A 13,163-nucleotide genomic window follows, 5' to 3' on the forward strand; every position below is an offset into this window, starting at 1 on the left:
CAGGCTGGAGTGCAGTGGCACGATCTTGGCTCACTGCAACCTCCGCCTCCCAGGTTCAAACAATTCTCGAACCTCAGCCTCTCGAGTAGCTGGGATTACAGGCACCTGCCACCACACCCAGCTAATTTTGTGTGTGTGTGTGTGTGTGTATATATATGTGTGTGTGTGTGTGTATATATATATATATATATATATTTTTTTTTTTTTTTTTTTTTGAGACAGAGTCTCGCTGTTGCCCAGGCTGTAGTGCAATGGCAAAATTTTGGCTCACTGCAACCTCCGCCTCCCGGGTTCAAGTGATTCTCCTGCCTCAACCTCTCAAGTAGCTGAGATTACAGGCATGCACCACCACACCCAGCTAATTTTTGTATTTTTAGTAGAGATGGGGTTTCACCATGTTGGTCAGGCTAATCTCGAACTCCTGACCTCAGGTGTTTCACCCGCCTTGGCCTCCCAAAGTGCTGGGATTACAGGCATGAGCCACCAAACCCAGCCCTTTTTTTTTTTTTTTTTTTTTGAGATAGAGTCTCGCTCTGTCACCCAGGCTGGAGTGCAGTGGCACAATCTCGGCTCACTACAACCTCCGCTGCCTGGGTTCAAGCGATTCTGCCTCAGTCTTCCAAGTAGCTGGAATTACAGGTATACACCACCATGCCTGGCTAATTTTTGTATTTTTCTTTTTTTTTTTTTTTTTTTTTTGAGAAGGAGTCTCGCTCTGTCTCCCAGGCTGGAGTGCAGTGGCACAATCTTGGCTCACTGCAAGCTCCACCTCCTGGGTTCACGCCATTCTCCTGCCTCAGCCTCCCAAGTAGCTGGGACTACAGGTGCCCGCTACCACGCCCAGCTAATTTTTTGTATTTTTTTTAGTAGAGACGGGGTTTCACCGTGTTAGCCAGGATGGTCTCGATCTCCTGACCTCTTGATCCGCCCGCCTCGGCCTCCCAAAGTGCTGGGATTATAGACGTGAGACACTGCGCCCGGCCAATTTTTCTATTTTTTAGTAGAGACGGGGTTTCACCATGTTGGCCAGGCTGGTCTCGAACTCCTGACCTCAAGTGATCCACCCACTTTGGCCTCCCAAAGTGCTGGGATTATAGGCGTGAGCCACCACGCCCGGCCTAATTTTTATATTTTTTTGGAGAGACAGGGTTTCACCATGTTGGCCAGGCTGGTCTCAAACTCCTGACCTCAAGTGATCCACCCACCTCGGACTTCCAAAGTGCTAGGATTACAGGTGTGAGCCACCATGCCGGGCAGCAAATTCTTCACGGCCTTGATAAGTAGTGTGTTGTTATGGTTTGAATGTGGCCCCTAAAAATCTGTGTGTTAGAAACTTAATTGTTCTCCCCTCATAAATGGATTAATGTCAGTTCTGCCCTCATGAATGAATATATGGAGTAATGAGAGTTCTGCCCTCTTGAATGGAGTAATGTCATTATCATGGGAGTAGGTTCGTTATCACGGGAATGGCTTTGCAATAAAAACAAGCTTTGTTTTTTTGTTATAAAAGCAAGCTCTATCATGGGAATGGCTTTGTTATAAAAGCAAGCAAGAGTAACCAGAATCTTTCTGGTTGCCCTCTCACCATGTGATGTTCTCTGCTATGTTATGACACAGCAAGAAGGATCTCACCAGATCCTGACTTCAGGCTCTTGGGCTTCCCAGCCTCCAGAACCATGAACTCAGTAAACTTCTTATAAACTACCCAGTCTGTGCTATGCAGTGAGAGCAACAGAAAACAGATGAAAACGTGTTCTCTGGGCCTTCTCATGAGGCATAATTAGCTAGGAGATCTTCTGGTTACCTATAGTCTATCCATTCTGGCACACCTATTTCCCTGAGTCTTTTCATTCTACCATCACTATCTGCCATAGCAATTCCGGCATGTAAGCTTTCTTTGGCATAGGTCATCACTTTTTCCATGCTTCTAGGATCCATCCTGGTAGTAAGATTGTACCATCTCCTATTGTCCTTGCCAGGATGTTAAATCTTGTATTTTGAAAGAGAGATTCCTGCCGGGCGCAGTGGCTCACACCTGAAATCCCGGCACTTTGGGAGGCCGAGGCAGGCGGATCACAAGGTCAGGAGTTCGAGACCAGCCTGGCCAACATGGTGAAATCCCGTCTCTACTAAAAATACAAAAATTATCTGGGCATGGTGGCACGTGCCTGTAATCCCAGCTACTCGAGAGGCTGAGGCAGGAAAGTTGTTTGAACCCGGGAGGCAGAGGTTGCAGTGAACTGAGATTGCGCCATTGCACTCCAGCCTGACAGGGTGAGACTCCATCTCAAAAAGAAAGAAAAGAAACGAAAAGAAACAAAGAGGGATTCCCAAGTCAATAAACTCTTCCCTATCCAATTTTATATTCCTTCTCCTTCATCAAGCACTCTCAGAATCCAGTTCCACATGTATCTCCCTGGCTCCTGCCAATACATGCTGGCTAGGTCTTGCTATTTCTGTGGCATATAGTCCCTTTCCACCCCTATCATACCCAGCACCTCTCCAGCTGGGTTATGCTGTAGCTAACCTAGTATAGGCTAGGAGGCAATGTGGGGGCAGATTCTGAGGGGGAGCTGTTGCTTTGTGGAGAAAGGCACTGCATTGTCCCTCAGCAGGGAGAGAGTGGTAGTTCTTACTAGGGAGGAGTGGGCCAATTCTGTAGGCTCAGGAGATTCAGAGGAATTTGTGGAGTCAAAATATTCAGGAGAGGCCAAGGCGAGTGGATCACTTATGGTCAGGAGTTCGAGACCAACCTGGCCAACATGGTGAAACCCCGTCTCCACTAAAAATACAAAAAAAACTAGCTGGGCATGGTGGTGCATGACTGTAGTCCCAGCTACTTGGGAGGCTGTGGCAGGAGAGTCGCTTGAATCCTGGAGGCAGAGGCTGCAGTGAGTCAACATCACACCACTGCACTCCAGCCTGGGAGACAGAGCGAGACTCCGTCTCAAAAAAAAAATCTTTAGGAGCATCCACTCTGATATCTCCATTCCACGTGTCAGGGTCCCAAGCTTTTCCAACCAGGACTTTGACTTTAGCATAAGAGATGTGCCTTATTTGGACATTTAACTGTCTTTGAAGTCAGTTGCTCAGATTATTATTATTATTATTATTTTAGATGGAGTCTTGCACTGTCCCCCAGGCCGGAGTGCAGTGGCACGATCTCCATTCACTGCAACCTCTGCCTCCCAGGTTCAAGCGATTCTCCTGCCTCAGCCTCCCTAGTAGCTGGGATTACAGGCGCACGCCACCATGCCCAGCTAATTTTTTGTATTTTTAGTACAGACGGGGTTTCACTATCTTAGCCAGGCTGGTCTTGAACTCCTGACCTGGTGATCTGCCCGCCTCAGCCTCCCAAAGTGCTGGGATTACAGGTGTGGGCCACCACGCCTGGCCAGTTGCTTAGATTATTAAGTCCTAGGCTTTGTCCTTGCTTTTCTCCACCCTTTCACTGCTAGAGATGTTGGCTTATTTGTATAAACCAAAGAGGCCTTTTCCTTTTCATAACCTGGATTTTTTTTTTTTTTTTTTTTTGAGATGATCTTACTCTGTTGCCCAGGCTGAAGTGCAGTGGCACGATCTTGGCTCACTATAACCTTTGCCTCCCGGATTCAAGCAATTCTCCTGCCTCAGCCTCCCAAGTAGCTGGGACTACAGGTATGTGCCATCACGCCTGACTAATTTTTGTATTTTTAGCAGAGATGGGGTTTCGCCATGTTGGCCAGGCTGGTCTCAAACTCCTAACCTTAGGTGATCCACCTGCCTTGGCCTCCCAAAGTGCTGGGATTACAGGCATGAGCCATTGCACCTGGCCCCATAACCTGGATTTTAATGCATGTTACTGGCCCTAAGTTGTTTATTATCCTGTAGCACATCCATGGAGCTTGGCAATAGCCACCAATTCCATCATCCTCATAGCTACTACTCCCTCCATACATCTCAAGTACCTGGCACATTGTGCCCTTAGAGTATCCAGTTCTACTGGTACATTCTCCCAATTTGCTGCCATTTGTCTGTGCTCTGCCCACCTCCACTAATGGGATCCTCATCATCAGATGGGTGGTGATCCAGTTCCAAACCCCATCTTACCATCTCCTTTCTCATCTACTTTGGTAGCAACTGTGGAAGACCAGATTCTCAAGAAGGAGATGCTGAGATAGAGTTTGGGAGGCAAAATGTTTATTAAGGACCCATACCTGTGAAAGGAAGGAAGAAAAAGCAGGACTGGGCAGAGGGAAAGTCAACCTGTGCTGCAGGCTCGACCAAGCTCAGCCGATCAGCAGGTCACTCTAGAATGAGAAGTGCTCATCAGGGCTTTCCAGCATCAAGTTTAAATGGCTGGACCTTTATACCTCTGCCTTGCTCAGTCACCAAATGTGGGCTACCCCAGGAAGGGCATGACCTCAGGTGAGGCAGCCCTGCAGCTGAAGCAGGCTCTGAAGGAACTGAAAGCTGGTATTGTCTGCTGCCCTCTCTCTGCAGCTAGGCAGCATGTCCTTTCTTGAAGGCGATCTGGGCAACACATCACCATGTGTCTCACAATGACATACAGACATGAAGGGACATAAATCCTAAGTATACAATTTGGTGAACTCACCCAGCTCAAAAAGTAGAAATGATCTGCATCACAGAACCCCCATTTATTCCTCTTCTCAGTCAATCTCTCTTCCCAAGGTAACCACTATCCTTCTTCTATCACCATAGACTCATTTACCTGCTTTTTAAATTTTTAACTGTGGTCAAATACACATAATATAAAACTTACCATGTGAGCCATTTTTAAGTGTGCAGTGCAGCCGTGTTAAATACATTCACATTGTTGTGCAACCAATCTCCAAAACTCTTCATCTTGCAAAACTAAAACTCTGTACCCATTAAACAAATCCCCATTATCTTTTCCCAAGCCTTTACTAACTACCATTCTACCATTCTACTTCCTTTTTTTTTCTTTTCTTTCCTTTTTTTTTTTTTTTTTTTTTTTTTGAGAGAGAGAGTCTCGTTCTGTCGCCCAGGCTGGAGTGCAGTGGTGTAATCTCAGCTCACTGCGACCTCTGCCTCCCGGGTTCAAGTGATTCTCCTGCCTCAGCCTCCCGAGTAGCTGGGACTACAGGTGCCTGCCACCATGCCCAGCTAATCTTTGTATTTTTAGTACAGACAGGGTTTCACTTTGTTGGCCAGGCTGGTCTTGAACTCCCGACCTTGTGATCTGCCCACCTCGGCTTCCCAAAGTGCTAGGATTACAGGCGTGAGCCACCACGCCTGGCCTACCATTCTACTTTCTGTGTCTATAAATCTGACTGCTCGCCGGGCGCGGTGGCTCACGCCTGTAATCCCAGCACTTTGGGAGGCCGAGGCGGGTGGATCATGAGGTCAGGAGATCGAGACCATCCTGGCTAACAAGGTGAAACCCCGTCTCTACTAAAAATACAAAAAATTAGCCAGGCGCGGTGGTGGGCGCCTGTAGTCCCAGCTACTCAGGAGGCTGAGGCAGGAGAATGGCGTGAACCCAGGAAGCGGAGCTTGCAGTGAGCCGAGATTGCGCCACTGCAGTCCGCAGTCCGGCCTGGGTGACAGAGCGAGACTCCGTCTCAAAAAAAAAAAAAAAAAAAAATCTGACTGCTCAAAGTACTTCATACAAATGGAATCATACAGTATGCATCTTTCTGTGCCTGGCTTATTTTACATAGCCTAATATCCTTAAGTTTCAGCCGTGGTGTAGCATGTGACAGGATTTCCTTCCTTTTCAAGGCCGACTAATATTCCGCTGCATCTTGCTGGGCACAGTGGCTCATGCCTGAAATCCAAGCACTTCGGGAGCTTGAGGTGGGTGAATCACTTGAGGTCAGGAGTTTGAGACCAGCCTGGCCAACATGGTGAAACCCCATCTCTACTAAAAATACAAAATTAGCCAGGTGTGGTGGCGCATGTCTGTAATCCCAGCTATTTAGGAAGGTGAGGCAGGAGAATGGTTTAAACCCAGGAGATGGAGGCTGCAGTGAGCTGAGATGGCGCCATTGCACTCCAGGCTGGAAAACAAGGGCAAAACTACATCTCTAAAAAAAAATAATAAAAAAATTCCACTGTATCTATATGCCACATTTTGTTTATCCATACATTCATCAGTGGACACTTGGGTTACTTCCACCTTTTGGTTAGTATAAATAATATTGCTATGAACACAAGTAGATTGTTTACCTGCTTTTGAGCTTTTCATATAAATGAAATGAATTCTACCATGTGTATTATTTTATGTTTGGTTTCTTTCCTTCAACATTGTGAAATTCATCCGTCTTATCGCATGTAGCAATAGTTTACTTTTCTCATTGATATATAGTAGTTCATTGTATAATCACATCCCAGTCTGTTTATTCCGTCTACCAGTGATGGACATTTAGGTTGTTTCCAGGTTGTATCTGTTATGAATAGTGCTGCTATAAACATTCTTGTTGGTGTCTTTTATTATACGCATGTATGCATTTCTGGATGTAAACACCTAGGAGTTAAATTGCTGGGTCATAGATTATGTTTGTTTAGTTTTACTAGACACTGCCAAATAGTTTTCCAAGATGACTATACCAATTTACCTCCTCCGGAACACTGAATGAGCATTCCAGTTGTTTGGTATCCTCAATAACACTTGATGTCATCGGTTATTTTAATTTTAGTCATTCTCATTGATGTAAAGTGGTATCTCATTGTGGTTTTAATTTGTATTTCCCTAATGACTAATGAGGTTGAAAGACTTTTTATGTTTATCAGTCAATTGGATGTGAAGCGCTTGTTCATGTTTTCTGTGAAGTGCTTGTTCATGTTTCTTGCCCTTAATTTAGTTGTCTGTTTTTTTCCTTATTGATTTGTAGTATTGTGGTGTATGTATGTATTTTTCCAAGGGTGATTCTCCAGATGGCATGGGCTTGCTCCAGAACCCCAGTGACCCTGCTAGGACTTGCCACAAATTACACACAGTGTCTTCTCCCATCTCCCACACAAATGTGTGGGTGTGTATGTGTATGTATTTTTTGTTTTGTTTTGTTTTGTTTTTAAGATAGAATCTCATCCAGTTGCTTAGGCTAGAGTGCGGTGGTGCAATCATAGCTCACGGCAACCTTGACCTCCTGGGCTCAAGTGATTCTCCCACATCAGCCTCACGAGTAGCTGGAACTACAGGTGCCCGCCACCACACCCAGGTACTTTTAAAAAAATTTTTGGACTGGGCACAGTGGCTCATGCCTGTAATAGCAGGACTTTGGGAGGCCAAGGTGTATACATCATCTGAGGTCAGGAGTTCGAGACCAGCCTGGCCAATATGGTGAAACCCCATCTCTACTAAAAATACAAAAATTAGCCGGGCGTGGTGGTGGGCACTTGTAGTCCCAGCTACTTGGGAGGCTGAGGCAGGAGAATCGCTTGAACCTGGGAGGCAGAGGTTGCAGTGAGCCGAGATTGCACCACTGCACTCCAGCCTGGGCGACAGAGCAAGACTCTGTCTCAAAACAAAACAAAATAAAACAACAACAAAAAATTGTTTTTGGAGAAATGAGGGTCTCCCTATGTTGCCCAGGCTGGTCTTCAACTCCTGGGCTCAAGTGATCCTTCTGCCTCAGCCTCCCAAAGTGCTGGGATTATAGGCATGAGCCACCAGCCTGCATGTATTCTTGACAAGGGCTCGAAGTTTAACATGAGGATTGCAAATATAGTCTCCCTCTCTATGGTTTGCCTTTTTTCCCTCTTAATGGTGTCTTTTGATTAGTTCTTCATTTTAATCAATTCAAATTACCAATCTTTTTCTTTATGACTAGTGCTTTTTGTGTTCTGCTCACTAATTATTTTTAAAATACACATAAGAATAAACATATACTCATCGACATAAAAATATTCTTCTGTGAACCATCTACGATCATATTGTGTAACACTACTGACCTCTTGGATGAAGCCCAACTGCCTACTGTGAAACACCTGATCAAGCCCCTGCCAAGCCCTCCAGCCCCGTCCCACTGCTCCCTGCCCTGCACTTCATCCTTCCACTAACCAAGCAGCTGTCACACAGCATGGCATTGCTAACCACCCTGCCTTTGCACCGGCAGTGTGGAAATAACAGTGTGTCGGACACTGTGGCCCACGCTTCTTCTCCCCTTTCCCACCAGAGCCCTGACTTTGCATAGGTGTCCACTCTCCCCCACATAGCCCTGTGCTTCAGGGCAAGATGCCCCCACCTCAGCCACAGGAAGGGCATCCTGATGGCCTAATCCAATTGTGGTTCCACATTCCTCCTGCCATGGACATAGGACTCAATTCTAGCTAATGAGATGCAAGAGGCTCCTGGGAAAGTCATCCTTGTTCCTGCCAAAGAGAACAGGAAGAGTTAGATCATTACTCATGTTGGATGTTGTTAGGCTGGATGATAAATCCCATACACTGAGGACAGCACTGAGACTTGTCTGATAGAAGCTGGGCCTTTGGTGACATGGAGTGCCAGTGATCATACTCTGCCTAAAGAACAACCTTCTGGCTGGGCATGGTGGCTCACATTGTAATCCTAGCACTGTGGGAGGCCAGGGCAGGAGGATCACTTGAGCCCAGGAGGTGGAGACTGCAGTGAGCCATGTTCGTGCCACCACACTACAGCCTGGGCAACAGAGCAAGACCCTGTCCCGAAATAATAAAATAATAATTTTTAAAAACACAAAAATTAGTCGGGTATGGTGGTGCATATTTCCCAACTACTTGGGAGGCTGAGGCAGTAGAATCACTTGAACCCAGGAGATGGAGGTTGCAGTGAGCAGAGATCGGACCACTGCACTTCAGCCTGGGTGACAGAGCAACACTCCATTTCAAAAATAATAATAATACTTTAAAGGCCAGGAGCAGTGGCTCATGCCTGTAATCCCAGCACTTTGGGAGGCTGAGGTGGGCGGATCACTTAAGGTCAGGAGTTTGAGACCAGCCTAGCCAACATGGTGAAACCTTGTCTCCACTAAAACTACAAAAATTAGCTGGGAGTGGTGGTGCGTGCTTGTAATCCCAGCTACTAAGGAGGCTGAGGCATGTGAATCGCTTGAACCCAGGAGGCGGAGGTTGCAGTGAGCCGAGATCGTACCACTGTACTCCAGCCTGGGCAAATGAGCGAGACTCCATCTCAAAAAAAGATAAATATAAATAAATAAATAAATAAATAAATAAAAGTGTAATCTGAAGCTCAGCATGGCATGGTGGTTCACACCTGTGATCTCAGCACTTTGGGAGGCCAAGGCAGGTGGCTGTCTGAAATAATAATAATAATTTTTAAAAACCAACCTTCTGCTGGTCTATATTTCCTTATGATTGAAGTCAGTTTGAATCATGGTTTCTGTCCCTTTTAACTGAAAGCACCTCACTAGTAGGACCTTAACTGACCTTGGATGAATTACTGAATGTGGATGTATTTGGTGTGTTATGATGTTTAGGACCAGCTTCACGGGTGTGCAACCTGTGCTGTCACACCAGGCCCACACTTAGTAGGGCCCCACGCTTGGTTTAATGTTCTGCTTTCATGGTTTTGAAATTCTTTTATATATATATATATTTTTTTTTTTTGTATTATACTTTAAGTTCTAGGGTACATGTGCACAATGTGCAGGTTTGTTACATATGTATATATGTGCCATGTTGGTGTGCTGCACCCATTAGTCATTTACATTAGGTATATCTCTGAAATTCTGAAATTCTTAATAACTTACGAACAAGGAGCCCTGCATTTTCTTTTTTCTTTTTTTTTTTAATTTTTTTTTTTTGAGATGGAGTTTTGCTCTGTCGCCCAGGCTAGAGTGCAATGGCACGATCTTGGCTCACCGCAACCTCTGCCTCCTGAGTTCAAGTGATTCTCCTGCCTCAGACTCCCGAGTAGCTGGGATTACAGGCATGCGCCACCACACCCAGCTAATTTGGTATTTTTTAGTAGAGATGGGGTTTCTCCATGTTGGTCAGGCTGGTCTGGAACTCCCGACCTCAGGTGATCCGCCCGCCTCAGCTTCCCAAAGTGCTGGGATTATAGGCGTGGGCCACCGCGTCTGGCCTGGGCCCTGCATTTTCATTTTGCACTGGGCCCTCCTAATTATGTAATTGGTCCTGGTGATGTGACATTTCTTATCTCCTTGTGTTTCTTTTTCTGCCCTTTCAATCTTTGAATCTGCACAGCTTCATCCACAAGACTCTAATTCACATGCTTCATCTGCCAAATCCACCAGCTTAACTGCAAAATGAGGAGGTTGAACCATTATCTGATCTCTATGGATACCTTTTAGAACTGTTAAGAATTCACCACTGGGCATGGCGGCTCACACCTGTAATCCCAGCATTTTGGGAGGCTGAGGCGGGCAGATTGCTTGAGCTCAGGAGTTCGAGACCAGCCTGGACAACATAGCGAGACCCCATCTCTACGAAAAGTACAAAACTTAGCCAGGTGTGGTGGTGTGTGCCTATAGTTCCAGCTACTTGGGAGGCTGAAGTGGGAGGATGGCTTGAGAGGTTGCAAGGAGCCGAGATCGAGCCACTGCATTCCAGCCTGGGTGACAGACCAAGAGCCTGTCTAAAAAAAAAACCAAAAAACAAACAAACAAAAAAACTTAAACTTTCTTGCAGATGAGCAGTCTGTGTTAAAAAAGAAAAAAAAAAAAGAAGGAAAAAGGATTCAACTTTCTCCCCAGCCATTTTGGTAAGCAATGACTTTTCAGTATTCCAGAAGGCAAAATTCAAGTGCCCTGGCCTGGCATTCAATATCTTGTTCCATATATTGTTCTTGTTACTTTCTGACACCAGCACCCATTACTCCCCAGTAAGAATTACCCACTTTAACTAAAAAGAATGATGATGATAATAATAATAATAGTAACAATAATAGTGAAAACAATGCATTCAAATAATGGTTTATAGACCGTATTCATACATATTTACGTTTGTTCCTCACAATAATTCTGTGAGATATCATGTGAAAAATAATTACTCTGGACCTTAATTCTATTACAAATAGAATTTACTAACAAGCACTATATCTCATGCAAAAGTTCAGAAATTTAATAAGTGTAGTTAATTACTAGTCATTTATGACAACTTTTTTTTTTTTTTTTTTTCTGGAGACAAGAATCTTGCTCTGTTGCCCAGGCTGGAATATAGTGGCAAGAGTGATCCTCCTGGGCTCAAGTGGTCTTCCTGCCTCAGCCTCTCAAGTAGCTGGGACTACAGACATGTGCCACCATGGGTGGCTATTTTTTAAATTTTTGTAGAGACAGAGTCTTACTATGTTGCCCAGGCTGGTCTCAAACTCCCGGGCTCAAGCCATCCTCCCACCTTGGCCTCCCAAAGTACTGGGATTACAAGTGAGCCACTGCACCTAGACTTATTACAACTTTTTATTTGAAATAATTTCAGACTTACAAAATGATTTCAGGAAAGGTCAAAGACATCCCATGTACTTTTTTTTTTTTTTTTTTTTTTTGAGACAGAGTCTTACTCTGTAACCCAGGCTGGAGTGCAGTGGTGCGATCTCGCCTCATTGCATCCTCTGTCTCCCAGGTTCAAGCAATTCTCCTGCCTGAGCCCCCTGAGTAGCTGGGATTACAGGTACCTGCCACCATGCCCAGATAATTTTTGTGTGTTTTTGTTGTTGTTGTTTTGTTTTGTTTTGTTTGAGACAGAGTCTCACTCTGTTGCCCAGGCTAGAGTGCAGTGGTGCAATCTCAGCTCACTGCAATCTCCACCTCCCGACTTCAAGCAATTCTTCTCCCTCAGCCTCCTGAGTAGCTGGGATTACAGGCGTGTGCCACCACACCCTGCTAATTTTTGTATTTTTAGTAGAGACAGCGTTTCACCATACTGGCCAGGCTGGTCTCGAACTCCTGACCTCGTGATCCGCCCGCCTCGGCCTCCCAAAGTGTTGGGATTACAGGTGTGAGCCACAGGGCCCGGCCTGTATTTTTTGTTTTTTTGTTTTTTGTTTTTTGTAGAGACGGGCTTTCACCACGTTGGCCAGGCTGGTATCGAACTCCTGGCCTAAAGCGATCCGCCCGCCTTGGCCTCCCAAACTGCTGGGATTACAGGCGTGAGCCACAGCACCCGGCCCCATATACCCTTTATTCAGATTCTCAAAATGTTAATATTTTACCACATTTGCTTTATCATTTTCTTTTTTTCTTTTTTTTTCCCAAGACGGAGTCTTGCTTTGTCGCCCAGGCTGGCGTGCAGTGGTGCAGTCATGGCTCACTGCAACCTCAGTCTCCCAGGTTCAAGCAATTCTCCTGCCTCAGCCTCCCAAGTAGCTGGGATTACAGGTGTGTGCCACCACACCTGACTAATTTTTGTATTTTTAGTAGAGACAGGGTTTCATCATGTTGGCCAGGCTGGTCTTGAACTTCTGACCTTGTGATCTGCATGCCTCGGCCTCCCAAAGTGCTGGGATTACAGGCATGAGCCACCGCGCCCGGCCCCATATGACGTTTATTAAGATTCTCAAAATGTTAACATTTTACCACATTTGCTTTATCATTTCTCTCTCTCTCTCTCTCTCTCTCTCTATATATATATATACATATATATATATACACACACACACACACAGGTAATATATATGCATACAGACATATATACACACACAAATATATGTATGATATATGAAATTATTTTTCCAGAACCATTGGAGAATAAATTGCAAACAGGATGAAATTGTATCTCTAAATACTTAAGTATGTGTTTCCTAAAACAAGAATATTGTATTCTCTTGTATAACAGTAGCACAATTATAAAATAAAAATAATAACATTGATATAATAATATTACCTAACCCAGAGACCTTATTCAGATATCCTCCACTGTCTTAATAATGTTTTCCACAGCAAAAAGAAAAATTATTTTTCTAAGGTCAGGCATGGTGACTCATGCCTGTAATCTCAGCACTTTGGGAAGCCGAGGTGGACAGATCATCTGAGGTCAAGAGTTCGAGACCAGCCTGGCCAACATGGTGAAACCCTGGCTCTACTAAAAATACAAAACTTAGCCAGGCGTGGTGGTGCGCACCTGTAGTCCCAGCTACTCAGGAGGCTGAGGCAGGAGAATCACTTGAACCCAGGAGGCGGAGGTTGCAGTGAGCCGAGATAGCATCACTACACTCCAGCCTGGGCGACAGAGCGAGACTC

At 45.2% G+C, this 13,163-nt stretch overlaps 1 long non-coding RNA gene across 1 annotated transcript; it reads left to right on the top strand.

Moving 5' to 3' along the window:
• The first annotated feature begins 790 nt into the window (after positions 1 to 790).
• LOC102723714 (uncharacterized) lies at positions 791 to 4,764 on the top strand. Its single transcript, XR_007064712.1, has 2 exons — positions 791 to 824; positions 4,117 to 4,764. It is a non-coding gene; the product is annotated as an uncharacterized LOC102723714 (long non-coding RNA).
• The last annotated feature ends 8,399 nt before the right edge of the window (positions 4,765 to 13,163 follow it).

Source organism: Homo sapiens, chromosome 15 (assembly GCF_000001405.40).
Source record: "Homo sapiens chromosome 15, GRCh38.p14 Primary Assembly".
Lineage (NCBI taxonomy): Eukaryota > Metazoa > Chordata > Mammalia > Primates > Hominidae > Homo > Homo sapiens.